Below are 15,644 nucleotides of genomic sequence, written 5' to 3'. Positions count from 1 at the left end.
AATTTATTTCAGGAAAGTAATACTGCACTATTGAGCAGCTTAGCTCAAACAATTTGAAGAGGTTAGGGTGAAAAAACCAAGGTAGACCACACAAGGTCAATCAACTCCTAAACAAAAAGAAAGCATCCCATAAAAAGCAAAGTATATGAAAAATTCTACATTTCAATTTTTCACAACTTACTCTGAATGTAAGTGAGCGGGTATATAACCATAAAACAGTAACGATAACATTACGAGCTTAAAACCAATGAATTCTGCAATAACCCATTATCATCAATATTAAGACAGTGGAGAAACCTTTAAAAAATCCACATGGGGAAATTCTATAGCATGTGTAATCAGATAAAATGTTTTTTTTCAGTTTTTTTAAATTGTATTAATGTACACTTAAAATTTATCATCTTTACTGTGAATACCAGTTCAGCGGCATTAAGTACACTCATACTGCTATGCAATCAATACCACCATCCATCTCCAGAATCTTTCCCTTGAAAAACTGAAACTCTTTACCCACTAAACAGTAACTCCCCATTCCTCCCTTCCTGTAGGCCCGAGCAACCACCATTCTACTTTCTGTCTCTATGCTTTTGACTACTCTACGCAGCTCATGTAAGTAAAAGCACACAGTGTTTGCTTTTTGTTATTTGTTTATTTCATTTAGCATAATGCCTTCAAGGTTCATCCGTGTTCTAGTACATATCAGAACTTCCTTCTTTTTTAAGGTTGAATAATATTTCACAGGAAACATTTTAAGGTTACTTAATTTAGTTTATAGGTACTTAAATTTTCTTATACATATTTGGTCATGAGTAGAGATTTTCTGCCTTGAATTTTCTGAAGTTTGACTTTATCAGAGACTTCTATGTATTCATATCGTCACAAATTTTTGTTTCTAACTTTACATAACTCTTATATTCCCTAGCCATATATTTTATGATCTTATAACTATAGAGCAATGTCAGAGAGAGAGAGAGAAAAGCATATCAATACTCTCTCAAAGAAAAAGAAATGTCCACAGAATGAGACAGGGGATAAGGAGAGAAAAAGACATCTGTGACTTTTGGCTACAGCTGTGAGAAAAGAGAATAGTTAGAAGTTCCTCAGTTCTAGACATGAAAAATATCCCATTATACTCTAATTCAGAGTAAGTCAAAAGCAAAACTTAGCAGCAGCATGAGACCCACAGAGAGAAATAATCAGGGCACACGTTCCAACCTGCTGGCTATTCTCCACTAACAGTCGAAGCTTGTTCATAACATCCTCAGCCTCTGTAGCCTCAATAATTCCAGCACTGAACGCTGATGTACATACACAGCTAAGTGTGTAGGCAAGGACCTGAGAAGAAAATACAGCAGAAAAATATGTCTTCAGGAGGAAAAATAAAAGAACTCGGTTTAGTTGACAAGATATTCTGTCAAACTCCCCCCCAGAGTAAGAATTGGATTCACATACATTTACCATGGATTGGGCACTGTTTTTCTGCCTAACTTATATTGTAATATTTCATAACACTGTCATGATGGGTATGATTATTCCTACTTTATAGATAAGAACTTTGAAGCTCAATTTCATGTAGCTAGCAAGTGACAAAGGAGGGATTCAAGCCCAGGTCTTTAGACTCATAATAGTAAATTTCTTCACCACATTATGCCAGAGCACAGCACCTATCAACAGCAGAAGGAAACAGATTTTCATCACCAGTGGGTGCTACTAATTAATTGCCATGCATTCCCATCCAAGGCCAAACAGGATAGGAAATTCAAAGAAGTGAAACACTGCTCCATTAAGATTCCCTAGGAGAAGTAGTGGAGCATAACTGGAACAGGAATATGGATTCTGGAGTCAGATAAATTGTATAAAATAGGAATACTAATACCTGCCTCATAGCACTAGTGTGGGAACTTAATATGTTGATGAATGAATGAATGAATGAATGAATGAATGAATGAATGAATAAATAAAATATGGGTAAAAAACAATGGTGGGAATGGAGCCAAGATTTGGGAATATGTCCCAAATTGACCATTTACTAGCGTAGTAACTTTGGGCAAGTCACCCAATCTATCTGAGTCTCAATTTTTGCACATCAAATTTAGTCATCCCCTCTCTGCTACCTCCTTTTTTCGTGATAAAAAACCTCCCTTATAAGAATGCTGTTAAGACAAAGTAGAAAATTCAACTTCTAGCACTGGTTGATATGGCATGAAAAATATAAGTGGTTTCTAAGGCAGAAGTTGAATAATAAAACATCAGAGGGGAGAAAAAAAAACTGCTTGCTTAAGGCCTTATAAATCAAAACATTACAGATGCATCAGTTATAAAAACATTGCTTTCATTTATAATTAATTTGCTCCTAGGTTGCAAGATTTACTCTTTTGGCTTAAAAAAAATACGTACTTTAAAATCACACTCTACACTGCTTTAAAAATGGAAATGTAGTGCATGTCTTAGAACAAAACTTCATTCCTCTGTGCCCAAAGAAATTCACCAATTCAACAAGTCCTATTGCTGAAAGCAGAGGAGCTGAGCAGGGAAACACAGCAGCCATTATGTACTCATCAATAGCTCATGGGCAGGCTGGGATAAAATAGAATCTGTTCTAATGAGAGAGAGAATCAGGCCAGGCCACGAGGTCATACCCTGCTCCTCTCAAAGAAGAGTACAAGCGGTCCAGCTTCACCTGGGCAAAATAGAGACAGGCATGACACATGCCTGAAATGTTCCATCTAAAAACATGGTTAACACCCATGAACTGGATCACATGAACTCCAATTCTGCATATTTTTGCACCACAACAGAAAAAAACTTTTCTCTAAGTGTGGTAAAGCGAATTTTCTCAATAATATTTTATGCTAGCTGACATTTTAAAAAATCAAACGCCTTTTGATCAGCAGTTTCTGAAGCTTATTCCTGGGCATTTTTGAAAGTTATATTTGGCTTGAGCACAATTCTAAAAATCTCGATTTAACCTTCTTCCAGAAATTGCAGCTCTTCTTAGAAAGTGCCTTCTAGTGATGCTGAGTTAGGTTTTGTATTCACTAAAGGCTCTTATCTTATATGCCACATTTAGGTTTAAGTTGATTTAAACTGCCACATAATATGAAAACCTTATGATCTAATATTGGTTGTTTGTCATTCAGATTTTCTCTTTGAGGAAGAATTTAATTTATAGGGTTACCAAAATATGGTAAGTCCAAAATAAGTGGCAAGAAGAAAACAAAAGAGAGCAGAGGGGAAAAAAATGTAGCCTCCATCTCTTACCTCCTGAAACGTTCTGCTCTGGCTCCCGCTGTCATCTACGTGCGCAGACAGCTTCCGGAGCAATGCTGCTACGTGAACGCGGGACTGCATTTGGCTGCTGTGGCTCATGAGGGACAGAACAAGTCCAACTCCCAATATACAGCCCGTGCTTGGAAGCCAAAAAAGATAAGATGTTAGGATCATAAGAAATCCACACAATTGCTCTTCACTTACCACGGGTGTTTACAGAGCTCTCAAACCTTGGTGAGATGGCTGGATTCAAATTCTGCTGCCTAGTAGATGGTGTGCCCCATCATCCATGACAAGTACACATACCTCTCCCCTCAAAATGAAAACCTGACATCAAAACATGTATCTGTGGCCCATGCTAGTGCTGTACACCCCCTAGATAAAAACAAAAGGCAGGAAATAGTTTGACTTAAACTTTATGGGTGAGAAGAGGAAAAGGCATAAACCAGCTTTATTTGTGCCCTTACAGAAATGCTGTAGTTTTCCCTGCAACACCCCTACCTGCATGTTGAGTATACTGTGATCAGCTGCATAAGGAGAGAAAAGACTAAAATTCAGGATGTGAGCTGAGGATATCTGACTAATAGCAAAGAAGATAAATGCAAGGCATGATTATGAGGTACTACTAAGTGTTTCATGTTTCCTAGTCAACTTCAACAAGTGGAATTTCTTTCCTAAAGAAACTGTTTGTGCACAATGACATTAATCCTTCTCTCCCCTCTGATCTTGCAGAATACCACTGGGTCAGAAGAGAAAATGGACAAATGACAGGCTTGTCAAAAGTTACCCCATGTGACAATTCAATTGAAATCTAGGGCTTTGTGCCCCCAATTCTCCTGAATGAATACATATCCATTTAAAGAAAATAATTGTTCTCTCAGAAAACTTCAAGATAGTATGGTAAGATAATGCAGCTTGTGGTAATGCTTTACTTTAAAGAAAAAAAGCTTTTGTCATTGTTTTTTAAATGGAGAAAATGCAATGTTTTTTCAGAAATCACCCTTACTCTGGCTTGCCTTGCCTCTCATCATGATATCTGCTGCCGAAGAAGACATTCCAGGGCATTTCTCCAATAATGTATCTCAATGCCCACATGTTAGGTCATTTTGCTCTTAAACAGCATCTACCCCCTTGGTCAGTGTCAAGAACATTTGCATAATTTTATGAACATGTTACTTACTTCCCCCAACGTGCAAATGGAGCACCCACACCTAAAAGAAGATACCCAGAAGGATAGACAGGCTACAGGATTTGCTCAAGGTCACACAGAGAGCATCCAGCAGAGCACGGCCAATACAAGGGGATTTTTTTTATTCCTAGCCTTCTGCCCCATCTGCCAAACCCAAAGCCCCTCTCAGTGCCCTTCATGGTGCCATGATGGAATACGTATGAGAAGGCACCGTATCTCAAGTGTGTTTTTCTAGTTTCTGTTGCATAACGATCAGCCATTCAAAAATCCTTCGTAAAGAAGCTACTACAGTAATAATCCATCATTAGTCAGGCAGAACTGCTGTTACAGCTTCGTAAACTTAACAAGCTCAATGCATTTTCAACCAGTTAAATCAACATCTAAGATCTCAATAGAACATGCTTTTGAGACTAATCACATTTACGGAAGAGGAAAGGCTACTCTTGATTAATATGAATGTAAAGCCTTTGCTATTATTTAGAATCTACAGGGAAGTTTTTTGGCTATCTTTGTATATTGATGCATATAACAATTTGACAGAATTAGACCAAAGATATAATTAGACAAAATTTGATTAATACTTAGACACATTTGACTGTTGTTCTCTCTTTGACTATTTAACTGCTACTTATGCTTAAGATTTCAAATGTTACTTCCTCAGAGACATCATCTCTCGCCCAGCAGAGAGCCTCTTTAATACTCTCCCACAGCACCCTGTGCTAATTTACTTCATACAATTTTAATTATAAACTCTGATGAAAATTATTTGGGGTATTGGTTGATTATTATCTCTTCCCTGGCCTGAAAGCTCCATAAGGGTGGGTATACCTTTTCTGTTTTTTTCCCTACCACAGTATCTGCTGCACCTAGTATACTGCTTGGCGTATACAGGCACTCAACCAGTATTTATTGAAAGCTGAAGAACTAACCAAATGAAGAATTTTAAGAGTCTAGAGTAGAGAGAAGATCTACAGAGGAAGAAGAAAAAAGCAAGGCTTGATTCTTATGTTTAGTAGTAGGCAAATTTTATAAGTAGTAAAATTCACTGAACGTATCATGCAAGATTCAACCAAGAAAATTCAGTTTCTGTTTCTTGCCAGACTAATTTCAGAAAGAGGAATATTGGGCTCATCTGGAAAACAAATTCCTCTCAAAGCTCATTCCAATAGGGTTTAACTTTCTGAATAAACAAGGAAGTATGTAAGTCTTGCTTTTCAGGCTATCCTGGGCACATAAATATCTCTATCCCCTAGATTGAAGCCCCTCTTTCATCATCTCAGGAGATAGATGTATTAAGGCTTTGAAAAACACATCTGTTTCTAGTTCACATTTACCTAAAATTTATCATAGCAATTATTACTATAACCTGAGCAACGTTATAATTCACTAGCGATTCTATTCATTGCTACAGCGGCAGTTAAGTGACTGGTGTAACATATGAATATATAACAGTGTATGTATATACATGCTATGGCATATACATCTATTGCCCCTCTGAATAGGTCCCCTCTCATTCATCTCAATTTTCCAGTATGCACCAATAATGTAGTCCTAAAACTTTATTCCTGATTTCCCTCTGATTTCTAAATCTTCTATATTTTAATGTGTTTATTCTTGTTCTAAGTCTTAAAATGTTCCCCCAGGTGCTTAGTTCAGCAATTCCACATATTTACCTCATTCTAGCTTCTCTTTGATATGTCTGCCAGCTTTGAACCAAGAATAGCTTGGGCAGAGGTAGCTTTTATAACTTTCTGTCCACTGAAAGCAAAAAGGAGTTAAGTGTTGGTGTCTCCAACAGAGGAAATAAAAACAAATTATAATATTGGGTATGAAACTGAACTTTGGAGTTGCTAACATAAATGTTCTATAAGAGTGCTAACAAATGATAAAGATAATTTGAGTTTTTAAATTCCATACACTATTATGTCATTACTTATTTGAATCTATTATCAGAGTATATTAAAATATCACCAGCAAAAGAAATCCTGAAACTTAAAAGCTAAGCAATTCTGATATTTGTGTTGCTGCATCAACTCAGATATATATTTTTTAAAATTAATCAGAGATGAATCTTCAATTCCCTAGTTTACTGTAGGCAATCCTGCAGATTAAGTACTAGGCCATCTAATAATTAGTTCTAATAACAGTTAACATTTATATAGCGCTTTGCCCTTTACAAAGCGCTATACAAATGTTATCGCATTTCTAAAAGCTCAGTAGTAATTAACCAAAGCTTGGGTCATTGATGACTGCATGACTACAGTTACGGCTGTGAGGATCACAATGGCACAATGAGCTACCACTAGATGGCAGTAAAATCTTAGTGATAGGCTCACGAACACCAGCCTGGCCAGGTGTGCGGGTTCTTTCAGCAGGGAGATGTCCATTAAATCGGGAAGCATGGTGAATTTGCTCTGGGTGAATTCTATCATTTGAGGGAGTACACTCCCGCATCTACTAACTACCTTCTAGTAAGACTTCCACTGTTTCACTTGAGGGAGGCTTGCCCTAGACTCCTGAAATCTCATTAGATAAGGGAATACTTTAAATCATGAGTCAGGCTTTCAGGTCTGGGTCTAGTTAAAAAGCAGAAGGAAGAATTAAAATATTAAAAAAAAAAGTGTGGGTGACACTTGCATGTCAGAAAAAAAATAAATACACAGTATACTGTCCAGCATCAAACTGCTTTCCTTCTATTGAAATGTGTTATCCATACTGTGTTATGTAAGAAAGAAAAATGGCTTTGAAGTCAGATGTCCCAGGTTTCTCTCTTGGCTCTGCCACTTATTAAGCATATGACCCTGAAACAAGCCTCCTATCTGAGACTCACATTCTTTATCTGTAAACCAAAGTGATGATGATTCCTACTTCAGTATCATGTTTAGGTTGTGACATGGATGTAACTCCATGAGAAACAGATGTGAAAATGCCTAGCTCAGTATGCAGCTGCTCAGTAAGTATCAGTTGAACCTGAAGCCAAAAAGAGAACTATGCTGGGTGCAGTGGCTCACATCTGTAATCCCATTACTTTGGGAGGCCAGGGTTGGGAGGATTACTCGAGGCCAGGAGTTCAACACCGGCCTAGGCAACACAGTAAGACCCTGTCTCTACAAAAAATAAAAAAATTAGTCAAGCATGGTTGCATATGCCTGTAGTACCAGCTACTTGAGGCTGAGGCAGGAGGATTGCTTGAGCCCAGGAGGTCGAACTTGCAGTAAGCCATGATTGTGGTATCACTGCACTCCAGCCTGAGCAACAGAGTGATATCCTATCTCAAAAAAAAAAAAAAAAAAGGGAGAACTGCACAAGGACTGACACCTAGAGAGCATTAGTAATGATGAAGCACTAAACTTCATTAACCGTAGAACTAAAAGTTTGGAGAGGATGGAAGAAGGACTTCTTGAAGGGCCTGAGCTTTTAATTGGGCTCTAACAGACAGGCAAGTGTCCACTAACTGGACAGGAAGTCCAGGCCTACCCGTCTCTCTCTCAATATAGTTGTTCATTAAAAAGGATAGAAAACCAAACGCAGCATGTTCTCAGTCATAGGTGGGAATTGAACAATGAGAACACTTGGACGCATGTTCTCACTCATAGGTGGGAACTGAACAATGAGAACACTTGGACACAGGGTGGGGAACATCACACACTGGGGCCTGTCGTGGGGTGGAGGGAGGGGGGAGGGATAGCATTAGGAGATACGCCTAATGTAAATGACGAGTTAATGGGTGCAGCACACCAACATGGCACATGTATACATATGCAACAAACCTGCGCGTTGTGCACATGTACCCTAGAACTTAAAGTATAATTTAAAAAAAAGAAAGAAAAAAAATAAAATAAATTTAAAAAATAAAAAATAAAAACAAAAAAAAATAAAATAAAAGAAGGTAAGAATCAACAAAGAAGGTAAGAATGAAGAAATAAGAAACTTATTAGTAACAAAAATAAATTTTAAAGTTAAATATGCTTGGACATACGAAATTTTTAAACACCTCAGTATCTGTATGGTGGGTAATTCATCCCCATGGTACTCCCCGCATTTAAACAACCTTCCTGAAAACTGATGGAGACAATGCCTGAAAGTCACTCCTGACTGTGCCACTGGCTAAAGTTGGCGGCATCTTAATCTCACATTTTTTCCCAACTTTATAACATCTTGAGCTAAGCTACAATGAACATCTTTGGGTGGTAAGAGGAGGCAGGAGGGATGGAAAGAGACATGAAAATATCTTATTCCTAGGTTGTAAAAGGCAATATAAATGCATGGATTAGGTTCAAAATCTCAACTCTTCATTGGATTCAAATAACAGCTAAATTTCCCTATTTTTCTCATTAATCATTTTCTATTTTCAAGATACTTCAACCATGCCATCAAACTCTTTCTTTACTCATATTCAAACCACACTCTTTTTTTTTTTTTTTTTGAGAAGAGAGTCTCGCTCTGTCGCCCAGGCTGGAGTGCAGTGGCACGATCTCGGCTCACTGCAAGCTCCGCCTCCCGGGTTCACACCATACTACTGCCTCAGCCTCCTGAGTAGCTGGGACTACAGGCGCCTGCAACCACGCCCTGCTAATTTTTTTTCTGTATTTTTTTTTCAATTTTTAATTTAATTTTTATTAAGGTAAAATATACATATAAAAGTACCATCTTTATCATTTTTAAGGGTACAGTTCAGTGGTAATAATACATTTATATTCTTTTTAAAAAGTAAATCAGCAAAATGACTGAGAAAAATATTTGTAATAAATATGGTAGACTAAAGTTCATGTACATAATATATAATGAATTCTTAAAAATTGGTAAGATAATCTTTTTTTAATATATCTACAATCTTTCTTTTCTTTTCTTTATTATAAGTTTTAGGGTACATGTGCACAATGTGCAGGTTAGCTACATATGTATACAGGTGCCATATTGGTGTGCTGTACCCATTAACTTGTCATTTAACATTAGGTATATCCCCTAATGCTATCCCTCCCCACTCCCCCCACCCCACAACAGGCCCCCGTGTGTGATGTTCCGCTTCCTGTGTCCATGTGTTCTCATTGTTCAATTCCCACCTATGAGTGAGAACATGTGGTGTTTGGTTTTTGTCCTTGCGACAGTTTGCTGAGAATGATGGTTTCCAGCTTCATCCATGTCCCTACAAAGGATATGAACTCATCCTTTTTTATGGCTGCATAGTATTCCATGGTGTATATGTGCCACATTTTCTTAATCCAGTCTATCATTGTTGGACATTTGGGTTGGTTCCAAGTCTTTGCTATTGTGAATAGTGCCGCAATAAACATACGTGTGCATGTGTCTTTATAGCAGCATGATTTATAAACCTTTGGGTATATACCCAGTAATGGAATGGCTGGGTCAAATGGTATTTCTAGTTCCAGATCCCTGAGGAATCGCCACACTGACTTCCACAACGGTTGAACTAGTTTACGGTCCCACCAACAGTGTAAAAGTGTTCCTATTTCTCCACATCCTCTCTAGCACCTGTTGTTTCCTGACTTTTTAATGATTGCCATTCTAACTGGTGTGAGATGGTATCTCATTGTGGTTTTGATTTGCATTTCTCTGATGGCCAGTGATGATGAGCATTTTTTCATGTGTCTTTTGGCTGCATAAATGTCTTCTTTTGAGAAGTGTCTGTTCATATCCTTTGCCCACTTGTTGATGGGGTTGTCTGTTTTTTTCTTGTGAATTTGTTTGAGTTCATTGTAGATTCTGGATATTAGCCTTTTGTCAGATGAGTAGATTGCAAAAATTCTCTCCCATTCTGTAGGTTGCCTGTTCACTCTGATGGTAGTTTCTTTTGCTGTGCAGAAGCTCTTTAGTTTAATTAGATCCCATTTGTCAATTTTGGCCTTTCTTGACATTGCTTTTGGTGTTTTAGACATGCAGTCCTTGCCCATGCCTATGTCCTGAATGGTATTGTCTAGGTTTTCGTCTAGGGTTTTTATGGTTTTAGGTCTAACATGTAAGTCTTTAATCCATCTTGAATTAATTTTTGTATAAGGTGTAAGGAAGGGATCCAGTTTCAGCTTTCTACATATGGCTAGCCAGTTTTCCCAGCACCATTTATTAAATAGGGAATCCTTTCCCCATTGCTTGTTTTTGTCAGCTTTGTCAAAGATCAGATGGTTGTAGATATGTGGCATTATTTCTGAGAGCTCTGTTCTGCTCCATTGGTCTATATCTCTGTTTTGGTACCAGTACCATGCTGTTTTGGTTACTGTAGCCTTGTAGTATAGTTTGAAGTCAGGTAGCGTGATGCCTCCAGCTTTGTTCTTTTGGCTTAGGATTGACTTGGCAATGTGGGCTCTTTTTTGGTTCCATATGAACTTTAAAGTAGTTTTTTCCAATTCTGTGAAGAAAGTCATTGGTAGCTTGATGGGGATGGCATTGAATCTGTAAATTACCTTGGGCAGTATGGCCATTTTCACGATATTGATTCTTCCTACCCATGAGCATGGAATGTTCTTCCATTTGTTTGTATCCTCTTTTATTTCATTGAGCAGTGGTTTGTAGTTCTCCTTGAAGAGGTCCTTCACATCCCTTGTAAGTTGGATTCCTAGGTATTTTATTCTCTTTGAAGCAATTGTGAATGGGAGTTCACTCATGATTTGGCTCTTTGTTTGTCTGTTATTGATGTATAAAAATGTTTGTGATTTTTGCACATTGATTTTGTATTCTGAGACTTTGCTGAAGTTGCCTATGAGCTTAAGGAGATTTTGGGCTGACACGATGGGGTTTTCTAGATATACAATCATGCCATCTACAAACAGGGACAATTTGATTTCCTCTTTTCCTAATTTTGTTTCCTTCTCCTGCCTGATTGCCCTGGTCAGAACTTCCAACACTATGTTGAATCGGGGTGGTGAGAGAGGGCATCCCTGTTTTTTTTGTATTTTTAGTAGAGACAGGGTTTCACCGTGTTAACCAGGACAGTCTCGATCTCCTGACCTCGTGATCCACCTGCCTCGGCCTCCCAAAGTCCTGGGATTACAGGCGTGAGCCACCGCGCCCGGCCTCAAACCACACTCTTAAGAAGTCACTTGACCCCAAAAGTGTTTCTTGAGAAACCAGGTGAGTGGCACTAGTTCCTCTCCAATCTCAGCCTGCATCTGAAAGAAGATCCCATAACTACCACCTATTAAATGGACATTTTACTTTATTTATTCCTGATGAAACCCTTTACACATGCAGCTACCACTACCATATCATTTACCCTTTTGTTAGTCTGAAACTAACAAGATAGAAAGTATGAATGTAGCTGTAAATCATAAGTTCCTAAAGGCCAGAAATGTAAACACTGATTTAATGCATATTTGAGCAGTGCCCATAATATCAAAGGGTAAATGAGTCAATAAACTGGAAGTTAGTGCTTATAATCTGTTAATTCCTAGTAACAATGAACACCAGAGGATTCATGCCTGACGTTCCAAAACGCATGGAAGTCTAAAAAACTACGATGTTGCTCCCTCAAAAATGTCAGTATTTCCGAAAGCCTAACAAAACCATACCATATATTCACCTACACAAGTCACACAGACTAACTGAAACATTAAATATCTCATAAAATGAGTGTGTTTAATTCTTTTTTTGATTATTTTTCATTTTTATCTTTCATTAATGAAATGAGAAAATAATTTTAAAGCATTTAGTTTAATAGACAAAACTTAAAAACCATGGGGTTAGCATGGGGAAGGGAAAGGTTCTTAATGCTAAGCAGGTTGGTAATCCCTGATATAACCTGTTTGCTTCCATTTCTACTTCTTAGGCACATGATTTCACAGGGAAACATAAATCATCGGTCAAAGGCCCTCTTAGCCCAATCAAATTCAAATGGCCTCAACAAATCTTTAAAAAGATTAAGTCGGCTGGGCAGGGTGGCTCACGCCTGTAATCCCAGCACTTTGGGAGGCAGAAGCAGGTGGATCACATGAGGTCAGGAGTTTGAGACCAGCCTGACCAATTGGTGAAACCCCATCTCTACTAAAAATACAAAATTAGCTGGGCGTGGTGATGTATGCCTGTAATGCCAGCAATTTGGGAGGCTGAGGCAGGAGAATCACTTGAACTCGGGAGGCGGAGGTTGCAGTGAGCCAAGATTCCACCATTGCACTCCAGCCTAGGCAATAAGAGTGAGATTATGTCTAAATAAATACATAAATAAAAATAAATACTTTAAAAAAAGATTAAGTCATGCATCCATGTCCCCATACATGTGCCTTGTATGATAAACGTAAGTCAAAACTAAGGTCTTAGTAATATAAGGTGTAAGCTGCAAGATGATAGTTGTTGCTTTGAATTTAAATAATTTGTCTATTGCTGAAACCTGGTTTTCAGAACAAGAAAGCTTTAATAATAAGTTTTTTGATTAATTATTACTGAAAACTCTCTGCAAAGGAATTCAAAATCACATTCTACAAATATTTCTCCATATGAATTTTAAGATTGTTTTATCTAGTTCTGTGTAGAATGATGGTAGTATTTTGATGAGAACTGCACTGAATGTGTAGACTGCTTTTGACACTATGGTAATTATCACAATATTGATTCTACCCATCTATGAGCATGGGATGTGTTTCCATTTGTGTCATCTATGATTTCTTTCAGCAGTGTTTTGTAGTTTTCCTTGCAGAGGTCTTTCACCTCCTTGGTTAGGTATATTCCTAAGTATCTTATTATTTTTTTTTGCAGCTATTGTAAAAAAAAGGGGTGGGGTTCTTGATTTGATTCTCAGCTTGGTCACTGTTGGTATATAGAAGAGCTACTGATGTGGGTACATTAATTTTGTGTCCAGAAACTTTGCTGAATTCTGTTATCAATTCTGGGAGCTTTCTGAAGAAGTCCACATAGCCAAAGCAAGACTAGGCAAAAAGAACAAATCTGGAGGCATCACATTACCTGATTTCAAACTATACTATAAGGCCACATTCACCAAAACAGCATGGTACTGGTATAAAACTAGGCACATAGAACAACGGAACAGAATAGATAACCCAGAAATAAACCCAAATACAGCCAACGGATCTTCAACAAATCAAAGAAAAAAAAACATCAAGTGGGTAAAGGACACCCTACTCAACAAATGGTGCTGGGGGTAACTGGTAAGATACATGTAAGCTTAATTGGCAAGCTACATGTAAGAGAATAAAACTGTACAGAAGGATCCTCAGCTCTCACCTTATCCAAAAATCAACTCAAGATGGCTCAAGGACTTAAATCTAAGACCTAAAACTATAAAAATTCTAAAAATAACACTGGAAAAACCCTTCTAGACATTGGCTTAGACAAGGATTTCATGATGAAGAACCAAAAAGCAAATGCAGTTAAAAACGATAAATAGCTTGGACTTAATTAAACGAAAGAGCTTTTGCATGGCAAAAGCAACAGTCAGCAGAGTAAACAGACAACCCACAGAGTGGGCGAAAATCTTCACAATCTATATACAACTGACAAAGGACTAATATCCAGAATCTACAACAAACTCAAACAAATTAGCAAGACAAAAACAAACAATCCCACCAAAAGTGGGCTAAGGACATGAATAGACAATTCTCAAAAGAAGATATACAAATGACCAACAAATGTATAAAAAAATGCTCAACATCACTAATGATCAGAGAAATGCAAATCAAAACCACAATGCAATACCACCTCACTCCCGCAAGAATGGCCATAATAAAAAAAAAATAGATGTTGGTGTGGACGCGGTGAACAGAGAACACTTCTACACTGCTAGTGGGAGTGTAAACTAGTACAATCACTATGGAAAACAGTGTGGAGATTCCTTAAACAACTAAAAGTAGAACCACCATTTGATCCAGCAATCCCACTACTGGGTATGTACTCACAGGAAAAGAAGTCATTATACAAAAAAGTACTTTCACATGCATGTTTATAGCAGCACAATTCACAATTGCAAAAACGTGGAACCAACTCAAATACCCATCAATCAATGAGTGGATAAAGAAACTGTGATACACACACACACACACATACACACACACGATGGAATACTACTCAGCCATAAAAAGGAATGAACTAATGGCATTCACAGCAATCTGGATGAGACTGGAGACTATTATTCTAAGTGAAGTAACTCAGGAATGGAAAAACCAAACGTCATATATTCTCACTCATAAGTGGGAGCTAAGCTATGAGGATACAAAGGCTTAAGAATCACACACTGGACTTTGGGGATTCAGGGAGAAAGCGTGGGAAGAGGGTGAGGGACAAAAGATGACAAATTGTGTGCAGTGTATACTGCTTGGGTGATGGGGGCACCAAAATCTCACAAATCACCACTAAAGAACTTACTCATGTAACCAAACACCACCTGTTCCCCAATAACCTATGGAAATAAAAAATAAAAATAAAAAATATTTCTCCATAGCATGCAAGACTTATGGCAGTGTAGGGAGCAATGTCTAAGTACCTGTGAGAGTGGAAATAGGAACAACATACTTGTATTCAAGACTAGTGTCAAAGCAGCAATTTTCCAGGGCATCCAACGACTTCATCAGAAGAAGGTTCATCTCTTGGCCAGATATATCACTGGTTAAAGATCAAGGGGAAACAATGAATTATTTAAAATTAGTCAACTATCCAAAATACTGAATACAATATTATACTCTCAATATTTTACTGGAAATACCAGCATTTCTCTTAAAAAAAAAAGTGACAATATTGATGAGTTGCCTATTCTTATTTGGTAGTTACAGAAACTAAGTCTGACCAATTATTCAATAATTGGATTTCTGAGCAGTATAATCACTTGCAAACCAATAAACACAAAATCTCCTATTTTTGATTTTTCTTAGCCTGTTCAAATTTTAAGCCATTGAAAAATAAAAAAGAAACTCGGAATTCCAAATATATATTTCTAAGGATGCTTAAGTGATTTTCTTCAGAATACTTAACGTATTAACCTGACATTATCAATAATCATTCCAAATCTTTCTTGCAAAGACTGTCACTTCTGATTTCATGTCTCAGTTGTGGAGGTTATAAATTCTATTCCTTTACTTACTTTTTTTTAAGGGGAGAAAATCCTAGACCTATATTTGTTTACATTTATACAGCAATTGATGATTTTATAAATGCCTGGGTGAGAAGTATGACTTGCATAGTAAAATAAAACTTAAAAGGTTCTATGGTTGTCCCTCCAGGCAGATTT

General features: G+C 37.5%; 1 protein-coding gene across 19 annotated transcripts in view, besides 1 other annotated feature; it reads right to left on the bottom strand.

Moving 5' to 3' along the window:
* The window catches only part of FOCAD (focadhesin), a 340,326-nt gene that overhangs the window by 47,915 nt on the left and 276,767 nt on the right, over positions 1-15,644 (bottom strand). For all 19 annotated transcript variants that reach the window (XM_047423537.1, XM_047423539.1, NM_017794.5 and 16 more), the window contains 3 exons: positions 14,933-15,022; positions 3,262-3,409; positions 1,216-1,335 (listed from right to left, as the gene is read on the bottom strand). In XM_047423537.1, the coding sequence (XP_047279493.1) occupies positions 1,216-1,335; positions 3,262-3,409; positions 14,933-15,022 (358 nt within the window). The remainder of the gene's footprint in view (positions 1-1,215; positions 1,336-3,261; positions 3,410-14,932; positions 15,023-15,644) is intronic.
* Positions 6,667-6,716: a silencer, noted in NCBI's record as "silent region_19803". NCBI's record gives its function as "represses an Ori minimal core promoter by ATAC-STARR-seq in GM12878 lymphoblastoid cells {active_cell/tissue: GM12878}" and the evidence as "EXISTENCE:reporter gene assay evidence [ECO:0000049][PMID:35858748]".

This window comes from Homo sapiens, chromosome 9 (assembly GCF_000001405.40).
Source record: "Homo sapiens chromosome 9, GRCh38.p14 Primary Assembly".
In the NCBI taxonomy this organism is placed as follows: domain Eukaryota; kingdom Metazoa; phylum Chordata; class Mammalia; order Primates; family Hominidae; genus Homo; species Homo sapiens.
Note: the sequence above shows the minus strand (reverse complement) of the source record. Positions and strands in the feature narration are given on the sequence as shown.